At 35.7% G+C, this 24,097-nt stretch overlaps 1 protein-coding gene and 1 pseudogene across 2 annotated transcripts in view, besides 2 other annotated features; one reads left to right on the top strand and one right to left on the bottom strand.

The window, feature by feature from the left end:
* NBDY (negative regulator of P-body association) overlaps nucleotides 1-20,844 on the bottom strand; it is an 89,937-nt gene extending 69,093 nt beyond the window's left edge. The window contains exons 1-2 of the mRNA NM_001348129.2: nucleotides 20,498-20,844; nucleotides 17,888-18,024 (exon numbers count right to left, since the gene is read on the bottom strand). Coding sequence (NP_001335058.1) covers nucleotides 20,527-20,733 — 207 coding nt within the window. The 5' untranslated portion in view covers nucleotides 20,734-20,844 and the 3' untranslated portion in view covers nucleotides 17,888-18,024; nucleotides 20,498-20,526. The remainder of the gene's footprint in view (nucleotides 1-17,887; nucleotides 18,025-20,497) is intronic.
* On the top strand, nucleotides 12,503-13,299 carry UQCRBP1 (ubiquinol-cytochrome c reductase binding protein pseudogene 1; annotated as a pseudogene). The gene has a single exon (NR_002308.1). The product of NR_002308.1 is annotated as a ubiquinol-cytochrome c reductase binding protein pseudogene 1 (transcript).
* Nucleotides 16,365-16,444: a silencer, noted in NCBI's record as "silent region_20869". NCBI's record gives its function as "represses an Ori minimal core promoter by ATAC-STARR-seq in GM12878 lymphoblastoid cells {active_cell/tissue: GM12878}" and the evidence as "EXISTENCE:reporter gene assay evidence [ECO:0000049][PMID:35858748]".
* Nucleotides 20,724-20,803: an enhancer, noted in NCBI's record as "active region_29689". NCBI's record gives its function as "activates an Ori minimal core promoter by ATAC-STARR-seq in GM12878 lymphoblastoid cells {active_cell/tissue: GM12878}" and the evidence as "EXISTENCE:reporter gene assay evidence [ECO:0000049][PMID:35858748]".

The following is a 24,097-nucleotide window of genomic DNA, read 5'->3' as shown; positions in this document are numbered from 1 at the left end:
ATCTGGCTCCCTTTCTTAAATATTTTAATGCTTTATTATATTAAGATAAAAATTTCAAAACATCTATAATATGAAATAGAAATAACAAGAAAGTAATTTATAATAAAATATAATGTATTTTAAGACGTAAATGTGCAGCCAGGCATGGAGGTTCATGCCTGTAATCCTAGCACTTTGGGAGGCTGAATCGGACAATCACTTAAGCTCAGGAGTTTGAGACCAGCCTGGGTAACATGGCAAAACCCCGTTTCTACAACAAACGCAAAAATTAGCTGGGCATGACGGCATGTGCCTGTGGTCCCAGCTACTTGGGGGGTTGAGGCAGGAGGATCGCTTGAACCCGGGAGGTCGAGGCTGCAGTGAGATGGGACTGTGACACTCTACTCGAGCCTGGGTGTCAGAGTGAGACCCTGTCTCAAAAAAAAAAAAAAAGGATGCAAATGTGGGGACATGACAACACTAGAAGACAATGAAGTATGCAAAAAATATACAGAGAATGCCTGTAAAGGTGGCAGCTATAATTACTGACTGATGCATGTGTGTTGTTATCTGGATTTCAAATATCCAAGAGCAGCGTTTTTGTAGGTATCACGATTTTCCAAAATGATAAACATTCTTGATAAGATTCTGAACAAAACAAAGGTTTTTACCTTGGATTACATGGTAGTTACATTCCTGGAAAAGTTAGTGTGTATTAAAAACTTGCTTATATATATATAGAATGGAGTTCAATTCAAGGTCTAGATTAACAAAAATAAGTGTTTAATCTGATGATATATTTAAAAGTTGTATGGGATATAGAAAATTTCATTGTGCAGGCTGTCTTGCATATTGCAGGTTATTTAGCAATACTGACCCTGCCCACAATATGTCAGGAAGCACTTCAATAATGATTATCTTAAATGCCTTTCACAAACTTTCCAATCACCCTCTCAGGATTATACTACCTCCATTGAGTACCAATACCCTAGTCTTATCCAAAGAATAAAACAAGTCCTTCTCTTGTCACTGCACCCTCTCTAACAACCAGGCCTATTTCTTTTATTTCTCAGTAACTTTGAATTCTCTTATGTCCTATATCTTCAGTCTCTACCCCTTTTCTTGTTACTTTAAGTCAATAAAACTGCAAGTTCCTACCATTATTTTTTAATACTCCCTTGGCTCTTAATCTTCTTACAGTTATCATTTAATTATAAAATATTGTCCAATTTTTATCCTCCATTCTCATCCCATCTCGTATGCCAGCTACCCTCAACTTGGCACTTCCTAGTAACTCTTCAACCCACTGTAATCTGGCCTCTGCTCTCACAACACGGAAACCGTTAATGCTAAATTCACCAATAAACTTAATTTACAAATTAATAAATATTTTTCAGTACTGAACCCTCTAATGTATATTATGTTGCTGTTCACTACATTTTTCTTAATCGGCATCAGACTTTTTCAGGTTTCCCCCTCATCCTATTACTCCTTTATCTGTTCATCTTTCTCTAGATAATCCTTAAATGTTAGTGGTCCCCAGAATTTCCTTCTCAATCCATAACTTTTCTCTATATATACCTTCTTCTAGATTATTTAATTTACTCTCCTGGTTTTATCTATCACCTTTATGCTGATGGTTATCTAAATATATTTATATGGACAACACTTCTCTTGCAATCTCAGATCTTTACCTGCTTGCCAGGAACCTCCATCTAGGTATCTTACTGAAAATGTTGAAAACCTGCTCTTTTTCTTGTATTCTATAACTCAGTTAGTGATTTCATGTAATACTCAAGCCACATACTTGAGAACTACCCTCTATTATTCTGTTTCCCTTGACATCCCATCTGTGATTGTCTTTTGATGTGTTAATTTGGCTAGGCTAGAGTCCTCAGTTATTCAATTTAACTAGGTTTTGCTGTGAAGCTATTTTGTAGATGTGATTACTGTCTATAATCAGTTAACTTTAAGTAAAGGAGATTATCCTAAATAATTTGGGTAGACCTGATTCAATCAGCTGATGGACCTTAAGACCAGAGCTAAGGTCTCCCTGAATAAATTTAACCTGAGGACATCAGCTTCAGCCCATGTCCAGGAGTTCCAGTCTGTCCTTCCTGAAAGCCCACTCCACAGATTTCAGGCTTGCCTACACAGCCCCCACAAGCCAATTCTTTATAATACATTTCTTAATATATATCTCCTACTGGTTCTATTTCTCTGGTTGAACCCTGATTGATACACCATCTAATCAATAATACTTCATAAAACTTTCTCAAATTCACTGATCTGTGCTCCATCCCAACTACCATTGGCTGAGTTCAAGCCTTCATCACTTTTTGTCGGGATTTTCATACAAGCATCTTAAATGATCTTCTTACCCCAATCTTGCTCTACTATACTATCCTCCACATGGCCACTAGTATGACCTATATAAAATATAAATGTGAACACAGCACTCTCTTTCAAGATTGTCAGTCACATCCCATTTCCTACAGATCTATCTTGAGCCTTTGTAGTGCACAAAGTCTTCATGTTTATGCTTCAGCTTGCTGATCTAGCTCCATCTCTCCACTCCAGGAAAACTACCTACCATACATCTCACCTCCTCCAAAAACCAGCCTACCTCGAGTTCTGTAACTTTGGTCATTATTTTCTCACTGCTTGAAGTTCTTTACCCATCTACAATCATCCATCCTTACTTAGTACCTCATTTCATTTCAAAGACTGAGCTTAGATATTGATCAATACAGGAGGCCATTCCTGGCTCTTCTAGTCTTGCTCATGTGCCTTCTTGTATTCTCTTATAGAACTCTGTGCCAATCTCTATCTACAGAACTTACCAAACCAGTTTATGAACTCCTTGGTGAGTTAGATGTTATATTTTTGTAACCCTGGCACATAAAACAATGCCTGGAATTTAATACATGCTCAATTTAATAGGCATTCTTTAATATTTGTGTTGGTTGAATAAAAGAATGGATGAATCACACACTCGGTGTCAGGTTATGGCTTGCTGCTATAATAAAATCTGTGGTAGGCAAAATGATGGCCACCCAAAGATGTCCACACCACAATTACAAGAATCCATGACTATGTTATTTTACAAGGCAAAAGGAACTTTACTGATGTGATTAAGTTAAGGATCTTGAGATGGGGGAGAATATTCTGAATTATTTGGGTGGGCATACTCTAATTGCATATATCTTTAAAAGCATATCATCTGAGTCAGTGAAAGATGTAATGACAAAAGAAAATGGAGAAATTCTAAGTATGAGAGGGACTCAATTTGCCATGGTTGGCTTTGAAGATGGAGAAAAGAGATGACAATCTAAGGAATTTGGGTGGCCTCTAGAAGCTAGGAACAGCTCTTAGCTCATAGCCAGCAAGAAAGGGATCTCAGATCTACAGATCTACAGTGGCAAGGAACTGAGATCTACAGATCTCAGATCTACAGTGGCAAGGAACGGAATTCTGCCAATAACCAAATGAGCAGGACATATCCCCCCAGAGCCTCTAGAAAGGAATGCAGCCAGCCAACAGCTTGACTTCTCATCAGGTCTGATGAGACCCATAGCAGGCTTCTGGCCTCCAGAACTATAATAAATATGTTCTTTTAAATTTCTAAATTTGTGATCATTTTGTTATGGTAGAAATATAAAACTAATACAGAATCCATGCAATAAAATCTGGCTTATCTTCCCAGAGACAGAAGACCCAGATGCTATGATAACATGTCAGGAGGTAAGAATAACAGGAGAGGAACTCGATCATATCATATTTGCCTCTTAAAAATGATCAATATAGAGTAGTATGAGAAAGTCTTTATACAATGAGAGGGAGAAAAGTGACCAAGTCATAGGAAAAAGTACTTAAGGAGACTGCACATGAAGCTGCTGAAAAAAAAAACTTTATTCCCTATTGAGTTGATTGTGAAAGTTTGTGAATACACAGACAGACAACCAACCGGACTAAGTAAATGCTCTGAAGTAGGAAAATGTGATGGCAGAACAGATATAGAAACTCCTCTTCATGCTGAGCATTTCTGTAAACAGGTAACCTAGACATGGAATATGGTGCAAATTATAAACCATAATTTGACCCGTGTCCAGAAAAGTAACTTTCTTAAGGGGGAAGTAAAAAATACCCACCTAGCTATCTGTAAAATCCCCAAAGGTATCTATGCTCTTGGGATAAACTAGAATTTTGTGCCTAAGAAGGACAGAACATCGCCCATGTAGTCTTCTTGCTAAAAACGCTTAAACTAATCATGGGAAAACAATCAGACACATTTCATACTGTGAGACATATAGAGGAAAACTACCTGGACTCATCAAAAATGGCAACGTCACAAAAAAAGGACAAGAAAAAAAAAGGGAGGGTGCTATTCTAGATTTAAAAAGACTAAAAAGGAGCATGACAACTAAATACAATGCATGACCCCTGACTGGATCCTGGACCAAAACAAATAAAAAGCTATAAAGGATATTGTTAGGAAAATTGTGAGAACTTGATATGGATAGTATATTAGATAATAGTATTGTATCAATGTTAAATTTCTCTGGGTGTAATAGTAATTTAATTGTTCTTAAGAGATATATGATTTAGTGTTTAGGGTTGAAGTGTCATGATATCTGCAAGTTACTTCCCAATGGCTCAGCAAAAAAATCTGTGTATGTATATATACATATATGTATATAGTATTTAGAAAAAGAGATAAGCCATATGTAGCCAAATTGATGCCCTGATGAATCTAAAGTGGTCCCCCCTCATCCACAGTTTCAGTTACCCATGATTAACTGCAGTCTGAAAACAGTAAATGGAAAATTCCATAAACGACTCATAAGTTTTAAATTTCACACCACTGTGAGTAGTGTGATGAAATCTCATGTTTGCTCCAGATGTGAATCATCCCTTTGTCCAGCACATCAACGCTGTATTCCTTACCCGCCCATCAGTCACTTGCTAGCCATCTTGGTTATCCAATAAACTGTTGCAGTATCACAGTGCTTATGTTCACGTAATCCTTATTTTACTTAATAGTAACCCCAAAGTGCAAGAATGATAATGCTGGCAGTTCACATATGCTAAAGAGAAGCTGTAAAATGCTTCCTTTAAGTGAAAAGGAGGAAGTTTTCAACTTAATAAGGGAAGAAAAAAATCATGTGTTGAAGTTGCTAAGACCTATGGTAAGAATGAGTCTTCTATCCATGAAACTATGAATATTGTAATAATTGTTCTATTTTATTACTGTTGTTGTTAATCTTGTATTGTGCCTAACTTATAAATTTAACTTTATCATACATATGTATGTATAGGAAAAAAACATAGTTTATATAGGATTAATTACTCTTCATGTTACCAGGCATCCACTGGGGATTTTGGAATGTATCTCCCTTGGAAAAGAATGGCACTACAATACATGAAAGATATCTTTTGACTTTTCTGTAGAGTTTAAATTCTATAAAATAAAAAATTAGTAAAGAAAGATAATGTTTGGATATATAAAGCTTATCCTTAATACTAATTATAAATTCTATTGGTAAATTCAGAAACAAACAAATCAATGCATTGATTTTTTGGCAGAACATTTTGTAAAAGATAAAAGAAAGAAAAAAGTGAATGAGTAAAACAATGGAAAAAGAAATACCACCAAAAAAGGAAAGGTGGAGTAGCTATGTTAACAGCAAGGAAACATTGGACAGGTCTTCCGAACAGAAAATCAACAAAGAAACATCACACTTAATCTGTACTGTAGACCAAATGGACCTAACAGATATTTACAGAACATTTCATCCAACGGCTGCAGAATATACATTCTTTTCCTCAGCACATGGATCATTCTCTAAAGCCACCATGTTAGGTCACATGACCATATGTTAGGTCACAATACAAGTCTTAAAACATTCAAAAAAATTGAAATAATATGAAGCATCTTTGACCACAATGGAATAAAAATAGAAATCAATAACAAGAAGAATTTTGGAAACTATACAAATACCTGGAAATTAAACAGTATGTTCCTGAATAAGCAGTGGGTCAATGAAGAAACCAAGAAGAAAATTGAAAAATTTCTTGAAACAAATGATAATGGAAACACAACATACAAAAACCTACGGGATAAAGCAAAAGCAGTACTAAGAGGGAAGTTTATAGCTATAAAGTTTAGTTATATATAAGTTTAGTTATTTAGTGCCTAAATAAAAAAAAAGTAAAACTTAAAATAAAGAAACCAATAATGAATCTTAAAGAACTAGAAAAGCAAGAGAAAACTAAACTCAAAATTAGAGGAAGAAAAGAAATAATAAACACCAGAGCCGAAATAAATGAAATTGGAATGAAGAAAACAATACAAAATAAATAAGTAAATGAAATAAAAAGTTGGTGTTTTGAAATGTGAAACAAATTTGGCAAACCTTTACCCAGACTAAGAAAAAAAGAGGGAAGATCCAAATAAATAAAACCAGAGATGAAAAAGGACACATTACAACTGATACTGCAGAAATTCAAAGGATCATTAATGGCAACTATGAGCAACTATATGCCAATAAAGTGGAAAATCTAGACTAAATAGAGAAACTCCTCTACACATATGACATATCAAGACTGAACCATGAAGATAATCCAAAACCTGAAAAGACCAATAAAAAGCCATAATAAAAAGTCTCCCAGTAAAGAAAAGCCTGGGACCTGATGGCATCACTGCTGAATTCTACCAAATATTTAAAGAAGAACTAATATCAATCCTACCTGAACTATTCTGAAAAATACAGGAGGAAGGGATACTTCCAAACTAATTCCATGAGGCCTGATACCAAAATCAGACAGAAACAAATTAAAAAAAAACAGGCCAATATCTCTGATAAATATTGATGCAAACATCTTCAACACACTACTAGCAAATCAAATTCAACAATACATTAAAAAGATTATTCATCATGACCAAGTGGGATTTATCCCTGGGATGGAAGGATGGTTCAACAGTGGTGATACATAGTATCAACACAATGGAGGACAAAAACCATATGGTCATTTCACTTGATGCTGAAAAAGCATTGGATAAAGTTCAACATGCCGTCATGATAAAAACCTTCAAAAATGGGTATAGAAGGAACATACCTCAACATAATAAAACCCATATATAACAGACCCACAGCTAGTATCATACCAAATAGGGAAAAACTGAAAGCTTTTCCTCTAAGATCTGAAACATGACAAGGACGCCCATTGTCACCACTGTTATTCAACATAGTACTGCAAGTCCTAGTTAGAGCAATCAGACAAGAGAAAGAAATTAAGGGCATCCAAATTGGAAAGGAAGAAGTCAAATTACCGTTGTTTGCAGAGGATTTGATCTTGTGTTTGGAAAAGCATAAAGATTCCACAAAAACTATAAGAACTGATAAATTCAGTAAAGTTGCAGGATACAAAATCAACATACGAAAATCAGTAGCATTTCCACATGCCAACATTGGGCAATCTGAAAAAGAAATTTAAAAGTAATTCCACTTACAATGGCCAAACATAAAATTAAATACCTAGCAATTAACTCAACCAAAGAAGTGGGAGATCTCTTTAATAAAAACTGTAGAACACTGATGAAAGAAATTGAAGAGGACACCAAAAAATGGAAAGATAGTCCATGTTCATGAATTGAAAGAATCAATATTGTTAAAACGTCCATGCCACAAAAAGCAATCTACAGGTTCAATGCAATACTTATAAAAATACAAAAAACATTCTTCACAGAAATAGAAAAAACAATCCTAAAATTTATATGGAGCCACAAAAGACCCAGAATAACCAAAGCTATCCTAAGCAAAAAGAACAAAACTGGAGGAATCATATTACCTGACTTCAAATTATACTACAGAACTACAGTAATCAAAACAGCATGGTATTGTCACAAAAACAGACACATAGACCAATGAAAGATAACTGAGAACCCAGAAACAAATCCACACACCTAACAAACTCATTTTCCACAAAGGTGCCAAGAACATACACTATGGAAAAGACAGTCTCTTCAATAATTGGTGCTGGGAAAACTGGATATCCATATGCAGAAGAATGAAACTAGATAGCTATCTTTTGCCATACACAAAAATCAAATCAAAATGTATTAAAGACTTAAGTCAAAGACCTCAAACTATGAAACTACAACAAGAAAATATGGGAAAAATCTCCAGGACATTGATCTGGGCAAAAATTTCTTAATTAATACCCCACAAGCAAAGGCAATCAAAGCAAATATGAACAAATGGGATCACATCAAGTAAAAAGCTTCTGCACAGCAAAGCAAACAGTCTATAAAGTATAGGTGCAATGGGAGAAAATATTTGCAAACTACACTTTTGACAAGAAATTAATAACCAAAATATATAAGGAGCTCAAACAACTCAATAGGAAAAAATCTAATAATTTGATCAAAATTGTGACAAAGATTTGAATAGACCTTTCTCAAAAGAAGATATACAAATGGCAAACAGGCATGTGAAAAAGTACTCATTGTAGTTGATCATCAGGGAAATGCAAATCAAAACTACAATGGGATATTATCTCACTTCAATTAAAATGGCTTATATCCAAGTGACAGGCAATAACAAATGCTGGCAAGAATGCGGAGAAGAGGGAATGCTTGTACACTGTTGATGGGAATGTAAATTAGTACAACCACAATGGAGAACGATTTGAAGATTCCTCAAAAAACTAAAAATTGAGCTACCATATGACCCAGCAATCCCACTGCTGGGTATATACCCCAAACAAAGGAAATCAGTATTATCAAAGAGATATCTGCACTCCCATGTTTGTTGCAGCACTGCTTACAACAGCTAAGATTTAGAAGCAACCTAAGGGTTCATCAACAGATACATGAACGAAGAAAATGTGGTATATATACATAGTGGAGTACTAATCAGTCATAAAAAAGAATGAGATCTAGTTATTTACAACAGCATGGATGGAACTGGATATCATTATGTTAAGTGAAATGGGCCAGGCACAGAAAGACAAACATCACATGTTCTCACTTATTTGTGGAATCTAAAAATCAAAACAATTGAACTCATGGAGATGGAGAGTAGAAAGATGGTTACCAGAGGCTGGGAAGGGTAATGGGTGGTGGGGGAGAGTGGGGATGGTTAACGGGTATACAAAAAGAATGAATAAGACCTATTATTTGATAGGACAGCAGGGTGACTATAGTCAATAATAATATAACTGTATAATTAAATTGTCTGTAACACAAAGGATAAATGCTTGAAATGATGGATACCCCATTGTACATGATGTGATTATTACACTTTGCATGTATCAAAACATCTCATATACCCCATAAATGTATACAACTACTAGGTACCCAGAAAGATTTTACAAAATTAAAAAGACCCAGCAAACAAAAAAAATTTACATTCAAAAAGATAAAAAGAGTTCCTAAAATTGTAAAATATGTATCTATTCTAGACTTGTATGTACATACTAACAATGCCTCAAGTATACAAAGCAAAAATTGTCAAAAGTGTAAGAATTTGACAAATACACAAATACAGTGGGAGATTTTAACTCTCTTGGTAACTGATAGGTCCAGCAAACAAAAAACTTAGGAATAGAGAAGATTTAAACAACACAGTTAAATTTAATGAACAGAACACTACACGCAAAAATTAGATACACAATCTTTCCAGGCACACATAAAACACTAGTTGATCATGTTCTCTAGGACATAAAGCAAGTTTCAACAAACACTAAATAATCATTATCACATAAGCAATATTGTCTTTTAAATGGAAAACAATGACAAAATGTTAAGCTAAAAAACAGCTATATACAATGACTTAGTTTCTAAATACTGTCTCCATAAAAGATAACAGAGGTCTATAGAGAAATGATTAATGGGGTAGGAAGTACAAGACAAGCTTGAAAGTAAGGAAGTAAAAAAATTTTAAAGTAAGTAAAAAGTGTGTTTAAGAATGATGACACATGTCAAAAGACAGGGGAGCCAACTTGAATGGGCAGCCAGTCACTAAATCTGAGACAATTTGGGTATTAAAATAAATAATAACAATAGGGTATTTTTAAAATAAAGTAAAAATCTATGTGTCCAAAGTAATTAATAAACAAATAAATGGAGAAAAAGCTCTACCTTGATGTAGAATATAAACTAATAAATGTACTAAAAATGATGGAGTTTGAAAATTACCATTTTGCATTCATCATAGCAATATCTGATTCAGTCAAGAATTATCAATGGATTTGAAAACCAGTGGATGATAATTTAATGAGGAACAGGATATTTACATAGTCTCAAAGTATCCCCAGCAAAATCATTAATTATAAAGAGGAAAATGATAACTGTAAAGTGGATTAATCTAGCAACTATTCACCACATTAACCAAGTAATCAAAGTTAACTTTACTACTAAAGGGTCAAACCAGCATCATGTACCACCATTATGATGCCCTGAGAACAATACATTACTTCTGTGGTGCTTTTGCTAATATGCGTACTCTGAATAATGGGGAAATGGCACACAAATTTAAATTAAAGGACAATCTATGAAATAAGTGTCCTGTATTTACCCAAGTGTCAATTGTCGATGTGTGATATTGTGATATATATATATTGGTTTTTGTCCATGGTTCCTGGCTTATAACTCCCAAATCTCTTGTTATTTCCTAAGTGACTAAAGAAATAAGCATATCTCTTGTTAAAGTATTTGGTCTTTTGTCTTTGGTTCCTGAAGCAGCTTTGAAACAGCTTCAGAGAAATAAAAGTGAGAGACAGTTTCTCTCTCTCTCTCTCTCTCTATATATATATATATAAAAATATATATATATACATACATATATATATATATATATATATATACACACACAAACACACATATATATGTATAATGTTGGGGCACTTTAGGCTTCACAAAACAGAATCTCTCTCTGACTTTCTCCTGCCCTCCTTTTACCTGCTTTTTTTTTCTCCCAAAGGCAAGCCATAGAAACTAAAAATATACTCTAATCTTCACCCAGCTTTCTGGCTTGGAGCTGGTCGTAAAGAAATTCTCTGACCTACCTAGTTTGACTGTGGGTCATAAGACTCCCATTTCAGAAAGAGTCCTGCCCCATACCCAGGAGGAAGGAATGCTGCACAGAGAAACCAAGAAGAATCTGAACAGACAAGCCTTGCTGGGTTTCTCCACCAAGTCTATTGGTATTAGATCATACCCTTTAGTCCAGTCACATTTCTACATGGTTGTTCATGCTTCATTAGTGCCTATCAGATAAAGTCTTCATAAAAAGCACAAGAGGACAAAGTACAGCTGAATTTGTGGAGGATTTCAGAAAGGTGACAAATAACTCATCCACATGCCAGGAGGGTGGCACACCCTAACTCCACAGGAATGGAAGCTCCTGTGCTCAGTAGCCTTCCAGACCTCACTCTATGTATCTCTTCATCTGGCTGTTAATGGGTAAATGTAAGTAAGTGTTTCCCTGAGTTCTGTGTGTTGTTCTAGCAAATTATTTGAGCCTAAAGAGAGAGGTTGCGGGAACCCTAACTTGAAGCTGGTCAGTTAAAAGTTCCAGAGGCCCAGATTTGAAACTGATGTCTAAAGTTGAGGCAGTCTCGTGGGACTAAGCCCTCAATCTGTGGGATCTGATACTTTCTGTAGGGAGATAGCTTCAGAATTGAATTGGATTGGAGAACACCCAGCTGGTGTCCACTGCAGAATTGTTTACTTGCCTGTCGGTGAGAAAAAATCCCAATACATTTGTTCACAAGCTTTCTGTGTTGGTTGCTGTGGTACAAGAGCCAAAGAAAAACTTTTTTTCCACACAATCAGTGTCAGAAGTGGGGTTGTGAGAATATAATGAGAGAAACTAAGTTTGTTTTTCTATAAACATAAAAGACAAAGAAAGGTCAAGGAATTGTTCCATATTAAAAACTGAAGAGACATGACAAGTAAATGTAATGCATCATCTTGGATTAGCACTTTGACCAAGGAAAGAAAATAACCACAAAAGACATTATTGGGACAACTGATAACATTGGAATATGGCGTAGATTATGATATTGAAACAATGTCAAATTTCTTGATTGTGACACATTTACTGAGGATGTATAAGAGGAAATCATCATTCTGAGGAAATACACACTGACATATTAAGAGGTAAAGGAGAATGATATTTGCAAACTACTGTCAAATAGGAGAAGGAGGAGAGGAAGAGAAAAACAGAATGATAAGGCAAACGTGATAAAATGTTAATTGGTGAATCTGGGTAAAGGACATTCTGGGAGTTCTTTGTAATATTCCTGGTTTTTCAAGTGTGAAATTAAATAAAAATAAAAATTTTAAAAACACAAATATAAAATTCAATAATAACTACATCAATAAATATCAATAACCACACTTTTTCTATGTATTTAATGAAAGAAAATGTTTTATATTGCCAAATTCTGTTGGGATGAGCAGCCAGTGTATAATTTTTGTATCTTGTTATAAGAAGGATTAAAAAAAATTAAAGCAGGTCAAAATGGCTGGCAAGCAGGCCATTTCAGCATCAGGCAAGTGGCTGGATGGTATTCGAAAATGGTATTACAATACTGCAGGATTCAATAAACTGGGGTTAATGAGAGATGATACAATATATGAGGATGAAGACATAAAAGAAGCCATAAGAAGGCTTCCTGAGAACCTTTATAATGACAGGATGTGTCACATTAAGAGTGCATTGGACCTGACCATGAAGCATCAGATCTTGCCTAAAGAGCAGTGGACCAAATATGAAGAGGAAAATTTCTACCTTGAACTGTATGTGCAAGAGGTTATTCGGGAAAGAAAAGAAAGAGAAGAATGGGCAAAGAAGTAATCATGTAGTTGAAGTCTGTGGATGCAGCTGTTATGAAGATGGTTAAACTTGAAACAAACAATTTTAAGAATTATTTGGTCTGCAGATGTTTTACTTTAAATAAATGTCTATTGTAATGGCTGGAGTTATTCCAAACCTTATACTGAATAACTACTGAATCCATTTACTGTTAAATTTTTTTCCAAATTTTCAAGATGTTTTTAGTAGTGTTTAACTACTTCCTGGAGCTCAGAGGCCACTTTATCAGTTTTCCTCACTGGTTGGATAGCCCATCAGTTTATGTAAGGATGTAACTTCCATGAGTTATAGCCTTATGGAAGCTACTAAATAAAAAAGGGGGTATGCACCCCCTAGTTTGCCAGGATTGAAAAACAGCCTCTTCACTGCTATCCAAATAGATTTGATTTTGCATCCTATCATTTAAAAAGAAATTCTGTATGCACTCCAACATAGGTATACTTAAGTAATATATATACTCCTGTGCTAACATGTAGACTAGAAAACAAAAAGTAGACATTAGAAAAATAGAAGTACAAAAACAAATCATACTTTTCCCCATATCCCAGTGACTTTTCCACTTTGGAAATGATTGTTATAAAGTTTAAGGGTTGGATACTCATCAGTTAAAAGTTTTAAGATTATAAGGTAATTTTTAAAAATATAAATTAGAATCATTGGCCGGGCGTGGTGGCTCACGCCTGTGGTCCCAGCACTTTGGGAGGCCGAGGCAGGCAGATCTCCTGAGGTCAGGAATTTGAGATCAGCCTGACCAACATGGTGAAACCCCGTCTCTACTAGGGATGCGGAAAATTGGCCGGGCATGGTGGCGGGCACCGGTGGTCCCAGCTGTTTGGGAGGCTGCGGCAGGAGAATTGCTTGACCCCGGGGGGCGGAGGCTGCAGTGGGCCTAGATTGCGCCACTGCACTTCAGCCTGAGCGACAGTGGCTCTGTCTCAAAAAAAAGAAAAAAATAGAATTATTCAATGTTGTCATCATTTCCACCCCTAAATTCTGAAATGCTTTCTTTGGTGGAGGTGAGAGTGTGGAGCCACAGCTAGTAGAGAAGGAACAGTAGGATATGCAGCCTCCCTGGTTTTCCAGGACGAGTCATTGCTGCGTGCGGCAGGAATGCCTTACCTCAACTAACAAAACAGTGTGAAAAACAAATTTGTGTTACATTTAAAATTTGTAAAGCAACGAGAAATGTGTGTATCATAAAGAGCATATTTAAATTTTTGCTAAAATATCAAGTCTCATATTCCCTAGGAACCACCCCCCATTTTTTTTTTTTTTTTTGCTAGTCAGATTATTTTTCTAAACCTATCTTGAAATCATGTCAATTTTCTTTTGTCTGGTTCAAGACAACTAAATCACTTGATAATGGTTTTGCTCAGGTCACATTGTGACAAGGTTTTAGTGTAGCCCTACTTCGCAGAAGGAGGCAGAAAAGACGGACTGTCTAGAACCCCCTTTAAAAGCATTTGTCTATTCAGAAAATTTTCCTGAGTAGATCTCTCCAAAGTCTCTTTTAATTGTGATTTCAAGATCACTTTTGCAGGACTCTGGTCTATTTGTTCAGACATCTACTGTGCACAATTACAAGGAGACTAGAACTGAGGCATCTCAAAGAGCACTGTCAAGGTGTGTAGGGAGCCGGGTGGGTGGAGGGAGGCTGGGCTCTGACCCTAGAAACCATGCTTATGAATGCTGTTAATGTTTAAAGCAAGCCTAAGGGCACTGCTGAAGGACAGGGGAACAAATAGAATGGACCAAGATTGAGGTATAACAAGAACTCCCAGGCTATCCACCTGCTCAAGGTAAAAAGTGTGATATTACATAGGGCAACCTCTGATTTTGTGAGAGTTCTTCCTAAAGTCACAGTGTATGCCTATTCTATGTTTCCAGATTACTTCATTCTTCCAAACGAGACCAAGTGTGCAAAAGTTCTTTGAACACTATATCAATGTTTTGTGTTCATTATAAATTATGGTTATCGTCCTGCTTGTTATGAAGACTAAGAAAGTAGATCTAGTATTTGGCTCACATAGGTGAAAAGGTGAGAATTTGTTAATCCATCAGTGAAGTCCTTTCATTTGAAAGAGAGGGCCTTTCTATTATCAAAAGCTGTCCTGTGTGAAAAATCACCATGAAAGTACCTGAAACACACAGGCTTGTTGTCCTGTAGACAGAATGGTAGAGTGATTCAGAGCTAATTCTGGGTTAGACTGCACAGGTCTGAATCTATTTGCTCACTGTGTAGTGCTTTAGGAATACAATTTAACCTCTCCGTGCTTCAGTTTCTTTGGCCCTAAGATAGAGCTAATGATAGAAACCAACTTTACACAGTTGTGAAAATTAACTGACTACATGTCAAACAGTCTCTGGCACATAGTATGCATAATGTAAATTATGTGATGAGAAGCGAGAAAAAATAACTTGGGAAAACACTGAATATCATCAAAGTTGAATAGCTAACCAGTAGCTAAAGTCCAAGGTCCCCTCTCTTCCTTCTATGTGGCACTCTTGTTTTTGGTCCATCTACTCCCCTTGGGTGTTACCTCCTTGAGTGAAGTACCTGCTGGAGATGAGAAGAGTGGAACTGGATCTGCATGACAGCTTTGATTAGGATGGAGCTAAGACTTGGTTATCTCCCTGTTTTGTGTTTTGGATGGGTGACATTTTAAAACTGCCAACATTAAAATCTTGCTAATTTGCTTTGTACAGTTTAAAATGTTTGATATCTTTTATTGTTTAAAGTTTGAGATTGGTTTTGAATATATGGTTTTCCTACATCTTGAAGAAGGATATGTTTGTTTGCTCTGAAGTGGTCTATGTTCTGTTTTTCTATTTTATTATACTTTGCAAAAAACAGATGGCTGGCTTATGTTCACTGTTGTAGTGCACTACCTAGTATCACTCAGCCTTCCTGTTGTCAAGGTGTAGGAAGCAGTGTAAGGGATGTTGGGCCTTCAGACCCCCAATTGCCAACTCTGGTCCTAGTTCCAGATTGCATGGACATATTTGATAACATTCCTGCACTGAGTTATCACGGTCTGAATATTTATGTGATGCTCTACGAGTGGTACCAAAATGTTAGTGATGGAATTTTCACTAATGGCACCTTTTCCTGTTTTTAAATTCTAGAATCTTAATAAATCCAAAGTGTACATTTTGGTAATGATTTCATTTAGCTATTTACTCTAAGGACTGCCTTTTAAAGCATTAACTCTGCAATAACTTTAACTTATGAAAAGATTCAGCAGTAAGAATAAAAACTAGGCCAAAGCACAAAGTAATAATCCTTCACAAATAAGATGGAGTTATAAAAATATGGGCATCCTGTGTGTAGCTTTGAAAATAACCGAAGTACTTGGAACTAAAAAGTTAGGTGAACATAAAAATTGTCATAACCAAATCCTTGACAGCTTGATGGATGAAAAGCAGATGGGTTTACACTGTATGGGAGGAGGCATGGATTTTAGGAAGGACAGCATCAGAGAGGGATGGTTAGAAAGTGAACAAGACACATTGCTCTTTGGAAAACAAGGAAAGTCCCTTAATTAGAACAAGGCATGAAATTCTGCCACTAGGTGGCGATGCCCTATAACTTTACAACTTAGGGTACATCACACCAGCACTATGGAAGGTTTCTCCATTCTGCACCCCACCAGCTCCCTCCCCTCCTTCATTTTTCAGGATGACAACACCTTAGAGGTTTATGGCCATCAGGAGAGTTTACTACTAAGCTATATACTGATCTAATGAAACCTAATATATGTTGTGCAATGAATTATGAGTTATTTAGTTTCAGGATTTTATTAATTCAATCAGTTATGACCATATTTCCTTTTATATGATTGTTCACTCTTTATACATACCAGATGACTGTATAAAGAACATCTAATAAAGTCTATAGATGTAAAAAAAATTAAAAAAGAAAAATAAGATAAAGTTAAACTAGAATGGGAATAATGTAATGATTTCATAATATATTTTTTAAAAAAGGAATCCCATATGATTAGAAATTGAAAAAAAACAAACCATGGGTCAAAAAAATCATAAGAGAAATTTAAAAATAATAAATATTGAATGATAAAAATACTATATATAAAAGTCTGTGAAATATTTCTAAAGTGGTAGAAGAAAATTTATAGTTCTAAATTCTTATTTTACAGAAGAACATTGAAAATTAAGATGCTAAAGATTCAACTCAATAAATTAGAAAAAGAACAATAAAAGGAAAGTAGAAGAAAGTTCAATATAAAAATAAAAGTCAAAATGATTAAAATAGGAACCAAATATCCAATGACGAGGCTCGATGAAAGCAAAAGCAAGAAATACATTAGAAAATTGATTATTGTAATTTATCACATGGTCACACTGTGATATTAATGGTGAAGAAAGGATATGAAAGTGGCAGTACATATAGACGGGAAAAAACTTCATAATATTTGTAATAAAACCTCTCAGCAAACTAGGAACATTAAGAAAGTTCCTTAACTTGAGAAAGACAATCTACTAAAAAAGGTGAAACTTTTGTAGAATTTAGGAACAAAATAAGGAAATCCTCTACCAATGCTGTTGTTCCTCTTTGTACTGAAGATCCTAGCTAGCACAGTAATATAAGGTAAAGAAATATTGTAAAGAAACTGTCATTATTCAAAATATAATTAATTAACAGATAATCCAAGAAAATCTATACATTATTAGAATAAACAGAATTTAAGAAGGCTCCAGCATATAAAATAAATATACAAAAATATCAATCATGTTCCCATTTACTAGAAACAATTAGAAAATGTAGTTAAAAAGATGATATATTTCACAGTAATAATAGAAACTATAAGTACAAGTGAATCTAACAAAACATTTCTTCAGATTACACTATTATTATGAATATGTTTTCATATAATGTAGAATATAGTTTCAATTTTATCATTTGCTGCTATCTTTTTGAGTTTTGTTTGGCTACTTTTTAATGTGTCAAAACCAACTCTTTTTTTTCTCTTCCTCCTCTTAATAATTTTTGGTAAAGAGATTACCTTAAAAAGCACAACTTCCAGGTTCAGGACACCAGAAAAAGCAGGGTAGCATTGTAAATAATCTTCATTGTTTTCACCAGGTGAACTATTATATGAATGCACCAGGGAAATGGAGTCATACTGCAATCACTCAAAGACTGAAAAATAGTAAAAAATATTGTGGCATCATTTTTTCTGTTTTTGTCCATCTCTTTGTCCCTTGGTCTCCTCAAATCATTATCCTTCCCATACCTCTATTTCAATGATTTATTCCTATAAAACAGTTGTATACATAGTATTAGAAGGGATGTATTATATAGAAGTTTAGAGCATAAACTCTGGAATCAGGTGTTCTGGGTTCAAAGCTCAGCTCAGCTACTTCTTGCTGTGTAACTTGTGGCAAGTCATACAACTTCCCTTGGTCTATACAAACTTCTCTAGTAGAGTTGTGATTAAATAAATTATAACATGCAAAGCCCTTTAGAAAATTGGCACATAAATCTTCAGTAAATATTGGCTATTATTACAATTATCAGTGATTTGAATCACTTGGAGGGGAAATTATGTAGCTACTGCACTTATTGTTTTGTTCTTTTGTTTTCTTTTCTTTTTCCTTTTTATTTTTTAAAATTATTTATTTATTTATTTTTTACACCGAGTCCCGGTCTGTCGCCCAGGCTGGAGTGCAGTGGCATGATCTCGGCTCACTGCAATCTCTGCCTCCTGGATTCAAGCGATTCTCCTAATTCAGCGTCCCGAGTAGCTGGGATTATAGGCACACAACACCATGACCGGCTATTTTTTTTTTTTTTTTTTTTACTTTTAGTAGAGATGGGGTTTCGCCATATTGGCCAGGCTGGTCTCGAACTCCTGACCTTAGGTGATCTGCCCACCTCAGCGGCACAAAGTGCTGGGATTACAGGCGTGAGCCACTGCGCCCGGCTGCTCTTTTGTTTTCTATCTGAGCAATTTTCTCCCTACTCCCTGCAACCTTCCACTCCACTACCCCTTTGAATAGAGGTAAACATGTGAGAAGTAAAACTGTATGGAATGACAGGGAGATGCTTTCAAGTAAAATAGATTTCTATTTTTTTTTTTCTATGCATTACCACCAAACCCAATGTCTAAAACTTTTTTGGTCGCCAAAGTTGTCCCATCATTCATTGATTTATTTATTGAAATATCTGTTTCACTCCTATTATGTACTAGGCACTATGCCTTGGCCATCCATCCCCTACAGCTCTCAGAATAATTCCTACCCATTGCAAGGGCTTCATAAAGGTTTACTGCACGAATGAAGAAAAGATGCTTCTCTCCTTTGAATTAAAAGGATCTATAAAACTTGGGTCAGATTCAGTTTTATAATTTGCATTCTATAAAGTTCATCTAAATATCAGAGATTCCTTTTCTGATAGTAAGAATAGGAATCTTAAAATACAAATAGTAGCACTTGATGGATATTGGAATGAAGTATATGCTCAGCATAACATTTAAGGCCCTGAAGCACTTTATCTTCACCTCCTAGTCCTTCTTGTAGATTCAAAATTATAGCCAAGCTGTTTCCAGAAGAATTCTGCCTTTTCTCTGGAAACCCTCGGCCTGAAAAGCATTCCCTGCCCCTCCACATGGCAGATGTCACTCAACCTTTAAGGCCCACCCAAAGTTCCTCCTTCCTTTTTTTTTTTTTTTTTTTTTTTTTTTTTTTTTGAGACGTAGTTTTTTGCTATTGTCGCCCAGGCTGGAGAGCAATGGCGCGATCTCGGCTCACTGCAACCTCTGCCTTCCAGGTTCAAATGATTGTCCTGCCTTAGCCTCCCGAGTTGCTGAGATTACAGGCGTCCACCATCACGCCTGGCTAATTTTTGTAACTTTAGTAGAGACGGGGTTTCACCGTGTTGGCCACGCTGGTCTCGAACTCCTGACCTGATCTGCTCACCTCGGCATCCCAAAGTGCTAGGATAATAGGCGTGAGCCACCGCGTCCGCCCCCCTACTCCTCCTTTTTGATGGCTCATGATTACTACCAGGCAGTGACTTGGTCCATCCTCCACCCTTCCTGAATACCTTGAACAAGCAAACATTATGGCACTTGGATTTGACTATCACATTGTAGCTTTAAAAAAAAAAATTCAACTCTCCTGCCTTACACAGAGAAAGACATACACTTCTGAAGGCTGGCCTTCAACAGATGCTTTTTATTGGCCTTGAACCAGCCTTTTTTTTTTTAACAAAAAAATTTTCCAATGCACGCAAAAGTAGAGAGAATAATATAATAAATCCCTACATATACATCACCCAGCTTTAAATTATCAACTCATGAGCATTTTTATTACACTTTCCCTCCACCTTGGCACCAATGACTTACTTTCAAGCAAATCAAAAGATTCAAGTCTATTTCTTAGAAAATATAACTACAATTATTTCATCTAAAATATTACAAATAATTATTTAATGTCGTTAAATATCCATCATTTCATTCAAGCATATTTTGTGAAAGAGCTGCTTAATCCCTGCATGTTATTTTTTCTATTTTGAAATCATGGAAAGAACAGGGAAAAGGGGAAGGAAATTTGTGAGAATGCATAAATAAGTTTCAAAGAGCCTAGATGTCCTAGATGAGAAAGAATCTGACCTGGTTTAGGGTGGGAGAAATTTATTTCTCTACTTCTCCGGAGGAGGAGGGTGCGACTTCAGGCCGGCTGATGCAGGAGGAGGTGCGGAGGGTAGAGTGGTACTACCTCCGTTGGGAGTTCCTTCCGGATAATCCCAACGCGGAGCGAGGAGGCAGCGCTTTTTTGGAGGCTTGGCTTCCCGTGCGTTTCCAGGTGGGAGAGTGGATCTCCCGGAGGCACAAGGTTGGTCTCCCATAAGGATTACAGAAACGGGTCGTCAGTTTTCTCCGGTGGGCCCTGGCAAAGCCAAGAGACCTGAGATGGCGGCGAGTCCCCTCCAGGCACAGAGCTGGCTTCCTCCTGTTTCGCTCTTACCGTATTTCCTGTATCCTGAGACGTACATCCCTTCTCCGCCTCCACCCCTCCTCCCTACCCCATTCTATTTTAATGTTTCTATTAGGATGGGTGTTAAAAACCGATGTCGTTATTTAATATAGTGTTTTTCCATCGCGCCCCACCCCCACTAAATGTAAATAAATTTATTGAGAATTTAATATAATTTATGCAATTTTAAGATGAGAAGAAATTCAAGTTTACCTTTAAGTGGTAAACTCTGAATGGCTTATATGTGTGGGAGGGACGCGGGGGTGGGCGGTAACCAAATAAATTATTGAAGAGCTTTACAAGCCAGCTGCAGATGCACATCACAGAGCTGTGAAACTAGCTACAAACATTTAAAAAGCAATATGCAAACATGTAAGTTGACTAGAGTGCAGAATAGCACACTAGCACAAACCATGGAAATTGAATGTGGAAAATGAATTCACCGTATGTCATAGAATCTAAGATCATTTTTTCTTTATTTTTTAAGCAAATTTGTAATTTTTGAAGGCTTATTATGTTTTTCCCCAAATTTGAATATCTAGGAAATCTCTGCGACCTAACAATTGATGGTACACTATACTTTAGTTGGCAGCTTTTTTTTTTCTTTCTTGTAGGTATGGAAAATAATGACCCATCTTACTAGTGATGATATGTTATATTCTATGATTTATGGTAACCAGAAGAAAGTACCACGTGTCTCAGAAGAAAAGGCTTCTGGAACTTCTTAGACCTTCATTATTAAAATAGCCTACACATCCATCTCCCTTTAGCTATGGACAAACTAGATCACACTTCTTCAGCTTTGTTCTCAGTGCTTTTTGTTTGTTTTTTGTTTTTTTAAATGGAGAGAGCTTAGTCCTTAATGCCAGAGTAGAAGTGCCTGTTAAACTCTGCTGTTTACAAGCTCTGAGCTCTTTGAGTAATTATTTAAATTCTTGGAACTTTGGTTTCTAGGCCATAATTTTTTCCTTGCAAAGGTGTTTCCATAACCAGGGATAATACATGTAAAGCATTTACTACTATAACTATCTCTTATCTCCACCCTTCTACCTTCCTCCAAGTAACCAGCACAGCCCTTTACACAAATTAGGTACTCAGTAAATATTTGGGAAATAAATGACCCCGTGGTTTTGTGCCAAATGCTACTAATAAAGACAGAAAAGTCAGATGTAGCTGTAGCTTAATGAAAAGATGTGAGGGAGGCATTGAGAGAGGCAATATTTTAGAGCTAGAAGAGTAGTTGGAACTAGACATACTGATGTGGGAGACAGCAACATAGAGGTGATAGTTAAAGACAAGGGAATGGATTATATCCCCAAGAGAAAATCTAAAGGAAAAATAATTGAGCTAAAAACAGAATATTGAGTAATTAGAGACAGATAGAAGAAAAGAAGTCTGCTGCAAAGGCTGAGAAAGAGTGGTCAAAGTCAGCGAAGAAGATTCTAACCCAGAGTTTCTCAATCTTGGTGCTATTGACATTTGAGGCCAAATCAATCTTTGTAGTGGTTGCCAGAGTTTACCGTTTAGCAATGTCCTAAGCTAAGCCTCTACCAACTATATGCCAGTACTACTCCCTACTCCTCAAGTTGTGATAACCAAAAAGATTTCCAAACATTGCCAGATGTCCCCTCGGGTACACAATTGTCCCCAGTTGAGAACCATTGGTCTATCCTTAATCCACCAAATTTGCTCCTTTCCTAGTTTTTTTTTTCTTTCATCTCAGTGAAATGTTATGCCTTCCACTCAGATATACAAGTCAAACTTTGGAGTCTTTATTTTTAGAAACTGAAGAATATTTTATTATTTATTCAAGTAAATGAAGTAACAATTTCACAGTCTTTTTACATAGGTCTCTAAATCTTCACGACTAAAGACATTAAGAGTTGCAGTTAAGTCGTTCTATAGCTATAGTTTTAGCAAATTAAGAGAAATATGTGCCTCGTTAGTAAAGTAACAGGAATTAAAAATTTTATCAACTCCAGCTAGGTTTAATTTACGGTAAACATTTGACTTGAGGTGAAAACAGTCCCAACTTAGAGTTGCTTCTATCAACATTGACTATTTATACCACAATTAGATTTATTTATTTATTTGTTTATATGCTTTGTGGTAAAGCATACATAACATAAACTTTACCATCTTAACATTTTTTAAGTGTACAGTTCAATAAGGTAAAGTATATTCTCATTGTTGTACAACCAATCTCGAGAACTTTTCCATACCTATCAAACAACTCTCCATTTTACCCTCCTTCCAGCTGCTGGAAACCACCATTATACTTGCAACTGGAATTTTGTTTGTTTTCATTATATTAAAACGGAGATCTAAAGCCTTTATTATTCCAGGTTTCAAAACAGGTTTTTTTTCCATCATCTTTTTTTTTTCAACATCAGTGAACCAGCTGAATGTGAATCATGAAGCCAGAAGAGGGCACTGTTAGGTTGGAGGAACATAGAGGCCAATTTGAGAAGTGCTACAGATCCAACTCTCATAATTTACAATGATCAAAAGATGACAATAGAAAATAAAACTAAACCCACCTCTGAGTGATAGTAAATGGTTTTCATTTAGTTTTTTAAATTGAGAAGTTGGGTGATTAATTTGATTTCTTTTGAAAATTAGCTTTTCTTTTTAAAATTTTCTTAATTTTTAAATTTTTTTATTTCTATAGGTTTTTTGGGGAACAGGTGGTATTTAGCTACATGAGTAAGTGCTTTAGTGGTGATTCGTGAGATTTTGGTGCACCCATCACTCGAGCAGTATACACTGAACCCAGTTTGTAGTCTTTTATCCCTCATGCCCCTCCCACCCGTTCCCTGAGTCCTCAAAGTCTATTTTATCATTCTGATGCCTTTGCGTCCTCATATCTTAGATCCCACTTATGAGTGAAAACATACGATGCTTTGTTTTCCATTCCTGAGTTATTTCACTTAGAATAATACTGTCCAGTTCCGTCCAGGTTGCTGCAAATGCCATTAATTCGTTTGTTTTTAAGGCTGAGTAGTATTCAATCATATATATATATATACACACACACACACACACACACATACATATATATATAACAATATTGTTATATATATATAACAATACATATATTGTTATATATATATAACAATACATATATTGTTATATATATAACATATATTGTTATACATATATTGTTATACATATATATAACAATTTTGTTATACATATATATAACAATATTGTTATAGTGTATATATTTATACATA

Source organism: Homo sapiens, chromosome X (assembly GCF_000001405.40).
Source record: "Homo sapiens chromosome X, GRCh38.p14 Primary Assembly".
Lineage (NCBI taxonomy): Eukaryota > Metazoa > Chordata > Mammalia > Primates > Hominidae > Homo > Homo sapiens.
Note: the sequence above shows the minus strand (reverse complement) of the source record. Positions and strands in the feature narration are given on the sequence as shown.